Genomic DNA, 10,652 nt, shown 5'->3' on the forward strand with positions numbered 1-10,652 from the left:
CAAGTCACTTCCCCTCCCTGGACCTGAATTTCCTCAGTAGATTTTGAGGCCTTTGGCCAAGCAGTCTGGAATAGCTCCTGTGGGCAAAAACTGAAATTAAAATTTTACATGGGATAGCTACTGATTTTTGAGCATGTTCTGTGCATCAGATCGTGGAGTGTCTATGGGGAGCCATTGAAGGTTCCTGAGCAGGGGTCGGGGGAGCATCCCTGAACTACTCTTGCCCTTGGGCCCTTCCCAGTTCTCCAGGACCTCTTGTCCTAGGGTTATCAGGGGAAGCAGCTGAAGCTTTGGACAAACAGTAGGGGCAGGCAGGGACACAGGGACATATGGTTTATAAATAAGGGAGCTGGGTGGGGCAGGGATGGATTGGGTGGGAAGGGTGACGGTTGAGCTGCAGGGAGAGGCCAGGAGAAGGCCTCAGGAGACGTACATCTGCTCCTGGTACTCACCACCCCCCATCACCCTGGGGGCAGCCCCCTCCTCTGATCAGAGCTGACTCTAGCATCCCCTGTGTCCAGCCCCAGGCTCAGCATCTCTGAAGGGGGCACCAGGGGCCGGAGCTCTGGTCTAGCCCTCCAGGTCCTCCCAGAGGGTACCAGGGCTGCTTCCTCCATGAAGTCTTCCATGCTGAGTCCAGCTTATCTTGACCACACCAGTACACATCACCAAGCCACCCAGGTTTGTAAACAAAAGCACAGGATCATCAGCCCTCGGTGCTCAGAGAAGAGGGGTCAGAAAAGAGGGAGGTTATTGCGGGGAGAGGAGCCTTGAAGAAAGGGTAGAGGCTGGGCAGTTGGAGGGGAGGGTGAGGGAGGGGAGGAATTTAACCTGGGGAAGGGGAGGGTTGGTGGGGGATTTTCTCTCCATCTCAGGCCCTGCCCCTCTTGCCTGTGATACGGTGGTTACCTCCTTTCCTGCCTCTCCCAGTACACTTTAAATTTTTTATTTGATTAAAATAATAAAACGTTTGTTACTTATACAATAATACATGGAACTTAGTAGAATGGTTTAGACCAAGGGCTCTGGAATCAGGTTGCCTGGGTCAGAATCTGGGGCCAGATATCAGGCGTGTGAACTCCAACAAATCACTGGTGCCTCAGTTTCCTCATCTGGAAAATGACCCACTTCATGAGGTTGGTGTGAAGATTAAATGAGCTAATATACATAAAGTGATTATTAAAGGGCCTGGCCCATAGTAAGCGCTAAATAAGTATGAATTATTGGAGATGTAAATTATAATGTTTAATAACATAATAAACACTCATGATCCCAACACTCAATTCAGGAACTGGAACATTTCCAAAATTTGCATCTAGCTTGTACGTCTCTCCCACTCCCCTAGCATCCCCTAAAGGTGTCTACTATCCTGAATTTTGTGTTTGTCATTCCTTTGCTTAAAAAGAAAACATTTGTATTCATGCCTGTACACCTAATCAATAATTTGTTCCTTGATTTTTGAGCTTTATAAAAATGGGAGCATACTGTAGGTAGCCTCTGGGCTGTCCACTCAATCTTCAGTTTCTGGGAGATGCATCAATGCTGTGCCTGTGGCAGTGGTTCATTGTTTTGGGGAACTCACCACCCTTGATTTCTTCCCGGCCACTGTTTCCCACTCCTGACCACAGGGAGAGCACAAAGCCCACTGTGTCTGCCCCAGCCTCCAGGCCCTCAAACTTCCTCTCCTGCAGCAGTCCAGCTGGCCCCTTCCTCAGCACTCTAGCCCTAGCTGTCTAGCTCTGTCCCTACCCAGACCTGGGGCCACATTTTTAGACACTGCCTCTTCTCCCATCTGTATGTTGCTCTGCAGGGAGTGACTGGCCAGGGGCACCAACCTGGGCCTGAGTCCTTGCTTTGCTTCTAATTGGCTGTGTGACCCTGGGTGGGCCTCCTGCCCTCTCTTGTCCTCAGTCTCCCCACCTGTAAGGAGAGTGGGTGAAGTGGTCCTTTCTCTGGAATGTCTGTGGTGTCCCAGTCCCTCCCTGGCCTGGAGGTGGTGCTTTGCCTCATCTGGAATGCCTGGGGAGTGGGGCCAGGTGGGACAGTGCATGTGTGGGGTGTAGCTGGGGCCTGGGAGGCACCTTTCCCCAGGATGCTCCCACCATGCTCTGGGGGCTCTGCTTCCTCTGTGCCTTGAGTTAGTGTGTAATAACCACTTCAAACCAAAATAGGCACATTGAAATTTTGAACCAAAGCTTCGAGGGGAGTTACAGCATGCAACTTGGGCTGCAGACAGCACCCAAGGCTGGGAACCTAGGGGCCTGAGTCCAAGTCCCAGCTCAGAGAACAATTTCCTGTGAGACCCTGGGTACTTCACTTTCTCCTTTTGCAAAATGAGGCCAATTCTCCATGCTGGGCACATGCGAGGAACAGGTGGGTCTGTGTATCTCACAGGTGTATATATCTCACCTCTCTAGCCCCACTCCCCTCACAGGGCTGGATAGAGAAAGCCTGCTCTAGGAGAAACAGGGCAAAGTCTGCAGTGAAGTTTAAAGTTTATAAAGAAATGAGTTATCCATGCACAAATCAAACCACCGTCTTCGGTTGGAGGAAAACAAAGTGTCACATTGTTCTCACATTGTCTGGCTGAAGGCCAGTGTTTCTTCCACACCCCTGCCTGCCCACACCTCGCCCTCACCCCTCCCCCTAACAGGTGCTACCTCTTTTGCCTGCTTTCCCCCCATTTTTCCCTATTTTTAATGATTTTGATGTGGAAACTTCCAGACATTAAAAAACTCTCATATACACAAATATAGTTTTTTTTAATGGAAAAAATCCTCCACATTCTGCCACTTGCTTTTTCTACTAAAAATCTTTATATTTTAATCAGCTTTATTGAGGAATAATTTACACACAACAAAATTCAGCAAGTTTATGTGTACACTTTGGTGATTTTTAACAAACGTGGACCATAGGGTGACAATCATCATGATCCCTGGATAGGACACTTTTGGACATTCCTAAATGACTGCAGGGGTTGAGTCTGCTGCTGGGAGAAGGAGACAGAGGCATCTGAGGAAGGAGCCACGGCCTGTGGGGGAGTGGGGCTAGGCAGGCCCTTAAGGATGGTGCCTCTGCCCCAGTGGGGGATAAGGGATTCCCTTCCTCAGTTTCATCATTTCTGTTCAGCAGCAAATTCACTTTGGAACTGCAAAGTTGACTTAAAAGTCTTTTTTTCTTTTATTTTTAATTAATTAATTTTTTTTAGAGACGAGGTCCGCTGTGTTGCCCAGGCTGGTCTCGAACTCCTGGCCTCAAGTGATCCTCCCACCTCAGCTTCCTGAGTCTCTGGGATTACAGGCGTGAGCCACTGTGCCTGGCTCTTGACTTAAAAGTCTTAAAAACCTAAAGCATCTAAGTGTCATTATTAAGGGTGTCCCCAGGACTCTCATCCCTGGTCCTTGTCCTGCACCTGACCCTGGCCAGAGCCTAGCCCTGGCAGTCCTGACTGCAGCCCTGTTTAGAGCTGGGTCTCTCAGGGGATCACGTGAGAGCGGCAGATGGCTCCAGGCCGCCAAGCCCCTGCAGCCCTGCAGAGCCACAGCTAAGTGAGGGCTGGGGCTGGCGGCTCCTGTCTGCGGGGATCCGTTCTGAAGTCCCAGGCCCCTGTGTCTCTGCAGGACTGCTGCCTGCGCCTGAAGGAAGGACAGCGTGGGGCGCAGGAGAGGGACTACACCCCAGCCAAAGGAGTCGCTTCCAGGTCCCCCAGCAAGGGAGATTTGGGCCAAATATCCAGAAACTGCTGATCCCCAAGGCCCATCCACCAGCTCCAAGCCCCCGGCCCCAGGTCTGGGCACCCTTCAGCCTGCGCATGCCTGGCGCCATCCTGAGACCGGGAGCTGCTTGTCGCCGTCGGGAAGAGGCGGCAGTTGCGCGTCATCACCACCAGGGGGCACCAGTACAGGTGGGACTAAACCCTGGGAGTTTCACCATCCACCAGACGTGCTCTCTGAGAACTTGTCAGTCCCCGCGGTCAAGGAGTCCATCTGCTAATGGGATAGACAGGCCAGCTTAAAATCTCGGCTGATATCTCTCATATCCGCCAAGATTACATGGAAAAACCATAACATCAGCTACCCCCTATATTAAATTTAAATAATTTTAATTGTGCAAGTAGTGAGGGTACAAATAAATTTTTCTTAACAATTGAAATACTGAAATTAAAGATCATGTTCCATTTGACCATCCCCTACATCCCATCCCTTTCCTCTTTTCCCTATTTTTATAGTTCTAGACATTAAAATATATGCAAATATAGGGTTTTTTAAATTCAAAAAGCACATACATTCTACAACTTGCTTTTTTCTGCTAAAAATCTATAAATGTTAATCAGCTTTATTGAGGAATAAATTTAGGTATTATAAAAATCACCAATTTTATGTGTTCAATTTGATGAATTTTAACAAATGTGTCCAATAGTGTAACCACCATCATGGTCACTGTATAGATTTCTGACATTCCTGAAATATTCTCTCTTAACACTTTCCAGTCAATTCACAACCTCACCTCTGCGCCCTGGCAACCTCTCATCTGCCTTCAGTTGCCACAGTTTTACTTTTTATAGAATTTCATATAGATGGAATCGTCCTGCATGGAGTTTTTGAGTCTGATGTCTTTCACTTAGCTTTTATAATGCTTTTGAGATTCATTTATATAGTTGTGTGTAAGTACTTTGTTCCTTTTTATTACTAAGTAATATTCCACTGTATGCACATACCATAATTTACTTATCCATTCATGAGTGATGAACATTTGGGGGTGTTCCCAGGTTTTGTCCACTATGAATGAAGCTCCTATGAACGTTCTAGTACAAGTCCTTGCGTGAACGTATACTTTTGTTTTTCTTGGGGAAATACTTGGAAGGATTGTTGCGTGGTATAAGTGTATGTTTAGCTTTATGTTCATCTGCTGAATGGTTTTCTACAGAAGCTGTACCATTTTGCATTCCTACCAGCAACGTAAGAGAGTTTTAGTTGCTCCACATCCTTGCCAAGACTTGTGTTGTCAGGTTTTTACTTTAAGCCATTCTAGTAGGTGTGTAGTAGGATCTTATGATGAAATTTATATTTCTCTAATGGCTTATGGTGTTGAATATCTTTAAATGTGCTTATTTTCCATTCACATCTTCTTTGGTTAAGTGTCTATTCAAATCTTGTCCACTCATTTAAAATCAATTATCTCCTTATTATTAAGTTGTAGGAATATTGTATATAGTCTGGGTGTGAGTCCTTTGTAAGACATATATTTTAGAAATATTTTTCCTCTTTCAGTGTTTTGTCTTTTCATCTTCTTAATGTAACTATGTCTCTTTAACTTTTTATTTTGAAATAATTTTAGACTTACAGAACAATTGCAAAGATAGTACAAAAGTTCCATTCATGGCAACGTCTCACATAACCACAGTACAATTATCAAAACTAAGAAATTAACATTAGTATGATATTATACCTAAACCACAGACCTTATTCAGATTCCACTAATGTTCTTTTTCTGTTCCAGGATTTGACCATGTCCTCTTGGTTTCCTCTATCTGTGACAGTCAAGTATTTTGTTCAGTGTCCCTCAACTTGGATTTGTCAGATGTTTTCTCATTATTGCATTGAGGTTGTGGATTTGGGGGAAGAATACCAAATGCCCTTCTGGTTACATCATTTCATGAGGCACATGATAGGAATAGGACACCATCGCTGGTAATGGTAACCTTCATCACTTGGTGTCTGATGGGTTTCTTCACTAAAAAGTTATAAATTTTTTCCCTTTGCATTTGGTTTGAAAGTTTGAGGGAGATACTTTGAGACCAAACAACTATCCTTTCTTTCCTTAAACTTTTGCTTTCCTCAATCCTGTAATGCCAGCACTTCGGGAGGCCAAGGTGGAAAGATTGCTTGAGGCCAGGGGTTTAAGACCAGCATCGGGAACAAAGCAAGCCCTCATCTCAAAAAAAAAAAAAAAAAATTAGACAAGCATAGTGCATAGTGGCATGTGCTTGTAGTCCCAGCTACTCAGGAGGCTGAGGCAGGAGGATGGCTTGAGCCCAGGAGTTAGAAACTGCAGTGAGCTATGATCATGCCACTGCACTCCAGCCTGGGCAACAGAGTGAGATGCAGTCCCCAAAACAAAAACCAAAAACAAACAAAATGAAAGAAACAAACAAATCTTTTGCATTCATTGGTGAGTTTGCCTGCAGCAATTATTACTATGGTGTTCTAATGGCAATTTTCTATGCTTCTCATTCCAGCTACCTTTATTAACTGGAATCCTTCTGCAAGAGTTTTCTCTTCTCCATCATTTATTTATTATGTGTGAACTGATGGCTATTTATTTTACTCCTTGGATTGTAATCCAATCCTATTTGGTTGCTCAGATGGCCAGCCTTGGCTGTTGGGAGCTCCTCTAGGTTTGCTCCTGTGTTCTTCGGCATGCTGCCAGCCTCCCTCCTCTGCCTTCTTTTCTTTCCTTTTTTTTTGAGCATTCTCCATCTTTCTGGAACCATGAGATGCTCCAGGATTATCTTGAATTATTTTTGTCTCAGACCTGGAATCAACTTCGTCAAGCAATCTTAGTTTTTTTAATTGGAGAATGGTAAATATCATTAATACATATCAAGATCTGTGTGCCAGCTTCTATGCAGGTGGCTCTCTCATCAGACAGAGCTAGGAAGTATATGAACGTGTACTAATTCATTTGTATGCAAATTGTCTATCTATTAATTGATCAATCGATCAATCCACCAATTTATTGATCCATCATCTATCTATTAAAGAAAGGCGTAACTTTACACTGACACTTGTGACTGCAATCCAGCACAATGTGTTCATTCTGGCATTTTCCCTTTACTTATTTGTAACTTTAGCTCTCATTAACTACAATCTTTCTTTGGATCTTATTATCTACAGTATATTTACTTATTTGCCCTGTTCTACTGTACAAGTAAAATATTTTTCGACTTGTTACCTCATACTTTTGTGAAAAACAAACTTGACAAATAGAGTACAGTGTTTATAGACCATTCTTTTAATCTTTAATCTCACGGCATCCAGGCGAAGTGCTTAGATCCAATCCTTTCTTTTTCATCTCCAGGGTGATTGTGTCATATGTTTGCAATACAGTCAGTTTCATTGTCACAGTCTGCATTCCACCTTGGGAACCCCTGACGTCCTGTTTTGTTTTGTTTTGTTTTTAACTATTTGCATACAGTAATATTCACTCTTTGAGGTGTACAGGTCTATGGGTTTTGGCAAATGCATGGAATCTTATATCCAAAACCACTTTATATATAGAAGGGTTTGTTAACCCTCCCAATTCCCTCATGCTGTACTTTTGTAGTCAAACCTTTCCCCCACTCCCGACCCTAGGCAATTACTTATCTGCTTTCTGTCTCTACAGTTTTTGTCTTTCCTAGAGTGTCACATAAACTGAATAATATAGTATGTAGCCTTCGGGGTTTGGTTTCTTTCTTTCACCTACCAAAGTGGATTTAAGATTCATTTACATTGTCGCATAAATCAATAGTCTATTACTCTTTATTGATGAGTCATATTATATTGTGTCACTGTTCCACAGTCTGTTTAACCATTCATCTGTTGAAAGAAAGGTGATTTCCAGTTTTTAATAATTATGAATAAAGCTACTGTAAACATCTGTGTAAAGGTAAGCATAAATGTTTGATTCACTTAGGTAAATACCCAGGAGAAGGATTGATAGTAAGTATATATTTAACTTTAAAATAAACTGCTAAAGTGTTTTGTAAATTGGTTGTACTATTTTACATTCTCATTGGAGTTCTCAGAGAGTTCCAGTTGCTTTGCATCTTGGCAAACACTTGGTTTTGTCCATTTTTAAATTTTAGCCATCCTAGTAGGTGTATAGTTTGTGGTTTGTAGCTTGTGGCTTGCATTTGCATTTCCCTAATGAAATATGACGTTGAGCATCTTTTAGATGTTACTTACCATCTGTGCATCTTTCTTTATGAAGTGACTCTTCAATTCTTTTGTTGATTTAAAAAATTGCATTGTCTTTCTTAATGTTGAGTTTTGATGTTCTTTATGTATTCTACATACAAGTTCCTTTTTGGGCATTTAATTTGCAAATATTTTCTCTCAGTCTGTGGCTTGTCTTTTTCTTCTCCTTGCAAAGCAAAAGTTTGTAGAATTTTGTTAAAGTCTAATTTATCAAGATTTTTTCTCACATGGATTGTGGTTTTAGTATTGTATCTAACAAGTCTTTCCCAAGCCCAAGAACATGCAGATTTTTTCCATATTTTCTTCTAGGTCATTTATTATTTTATGTTTAAATTTAGGTCTATGATCCATTTTGAGTTAAGTCTGTAAAAGTTGTGAGGTATGGATTGAAGTTCATTTTTGCTTTTCCAAACAAATGTTCAGTTGTTCCAGCACCGTGTGTGGAAAATACTGTACTTTCTCCACTAAATTGACTTTGCACCTTTATTTAAAAATCAGTTAACTGTATTTGTGTGGGTCTATTTCTGGGCTTTCTATTTTGTTCCATTCATCTATGTGCCTATCCTTTTGCCAATACCACACTCTCATGATCCCTGTAGCTATGTAGTAGGTGTTAAAATTGGATAGTGTGTCCTTAACTTTTTCCCACAATTCCCAGAATTGTGTTATCTATTTTAGTTTCTTTGTTTATCCATTCAAATATTAGAATCAGCTCAATTATATCTATGAAAACAGCTAACTGGGATTATGTTGAATCTATAGATCAAATTGAGGATAATTTGCATCTTAGTAATATTGGATCTTTTAATCCATGAACACAATATAACTCCCTATTTTTTTCAGGTTTTTATTACTTTCACTTATGTTTTATAGTTTTCAGCATATTTTGTTATATTTATCTATAAGTATTTTATTTTATGAAGCTATTGTATGTAGCACTTTTAAAAGTTTGATTTCTGATTGTTAATTGCAAATACATGGAAATATAATTGATTTTGTATGTATACTTGGATCTTGCAACATTGCTAAATCTGCTTATTAGTTCCAGGATGTTTTTCTGTAGATTTATTTGGATTTTCTACATAAATTAGGGTTTCAACCAAAACAGCCAGTTTTATTTTTTCATTGAAATCTGTATACCTCTTATTTCTATTTCCTGGCTTCTAACTTGATGTTGAATAGGAGTAGTGAAAGAGGACATTTTTCTTTTGTTCCCTGTTTTAGGAGGAAAGCATCACTCTTTCATCATTTAACATAATGGCTGTAGGTGTTTTACAGGTGCTCCTTTGTCAGGTAAAGGAAGTTTCTTTTTATTCCTAGTTCACTGAGAGTTTTTGTCATGAACAGTTGTAAAATTTTGTCAAAAGCTTTCTTCTACGTATCTAGAGATAATAATATGGTTTTTCTTCTTTTGTTTGTTAATATAGTGAATTATATTGATTGGACCTTGAATTTTGAGCCAGAAATATATATGTATGTATTTCTGGATTCAAGTTGCGAATACTTTGTTGAAGGTTATTTTGTGTATGTTTTTAAGAGATGTTGGTCTGCAATTTTCTTCTGTTGGAATGCCTGGTTTTAGTATCAGAGCAATGCTGACTTCATTGGCTGACTAGGGAAAGCACCCCTTCCTCGTTTTTTCTGGGAGAGATTGTAAAAAAAATGGATATTATTTCTTCTTTAAATGTTTGCAAAAATTCACCAGTGAAAGCTTCTAATGTTGAAGTTTACTTATTTGAAAGATTTTTTAAAAGACAAATTAGATTTCTTAATTATGCATGTCTATTCAGATTATAATTTTTTTCTTGAGTTTTATTAAAGTCTTTCACATAATTAGTCTATTTCATGTAAGTTGTTGAATTAATGACGTACAATTGTTCATAATATTCCTTTATTATTCTTTCAACATTCATAGGATTTATAGTGATAACATTTTTTTCCTTCCTGAAATTGGTAACCTGTCTTTCTTTTCCCCTGAGGAGTTTTTCCAGATATTTATTAACTTCAATGATCTTTCTAAAAAAGCAGGCTTGGTTTCATTTGCTTTCTTTGTTGTTTTTCTTTTTCCTATTTCATTGATTTATGCTATCTTTATTATATCCTTTCTTATGCTTATTTTGTACATAAGTTGGCCTTTTCTGTTATTTTTGTGGTGGGACATTAGGTCATTGGTTTCGATATTTCTTCCTTTTAAATGTAAGCATTTGGTGCTACAAATTTCCCTCTAAGCACTGCTTTAGCTGCACCCCATAGATTTTAATGCATTATATTTTTCTTATCAATCAGTTCAAAATATCTACTAATGTCCCTTGTGATTTCTTCTCCAACCAATATAGTATTTAGAGTATACAGTTCAACTTCCAGATATTTGGGGATTTTCTAGACACCTTTTTATTAGTGATATCTGGTGTAATTCTATTATGGTCAGAGAAATACTTTGTATGATTTCAATTCTTATCAATTGATTGAGACTTGTTTTGTAGCCCAGAATATGCTCTATCATGGTTAATATTCTGTGTGTACTTGAGAAGAATGTGTATTCTCTTGTACAAAATACTAGATAAAAGTTTTATTAGATAAAATATTTATGAAAGTTTTTCTATATGTCTCAATTTGTTCAAATTGGTTGTGTTGTTCAAATTATCTATATCCTTTCTTACTTTTTAAAATGAACTGTTATATTTAAAATGA

The 10,652-nt window shown here is 40.1% G+C and overlaps 1 annotated feature.

Annotated features, from left to right (window-relative positions):
- Positions 3,854-4,003: an enhancer, noted in NCBI's record as "active region_25820". NCBI's record gives its function as "activates an Ori minimal core promoter by ATAC-STARR-seq in GM12878 lymphoblastoid cells {active_cell/tissue: GM12878}" and the evidence as "EXISTENCE:reporter gene assay evidence [ECO:0000049][PMID:35858748]".

This window comes from Homo sapiens, chromosome 7 (assembly GCF_000001405.40).
Source record: "Homo sapiens chromosome 7, GRCh38.p14 Primary Assembly".
NCBI lineage: Eukaryota > Metazoa > Chordata > Mammalia > Primates > Hominidae > Homo > Homo sapiens.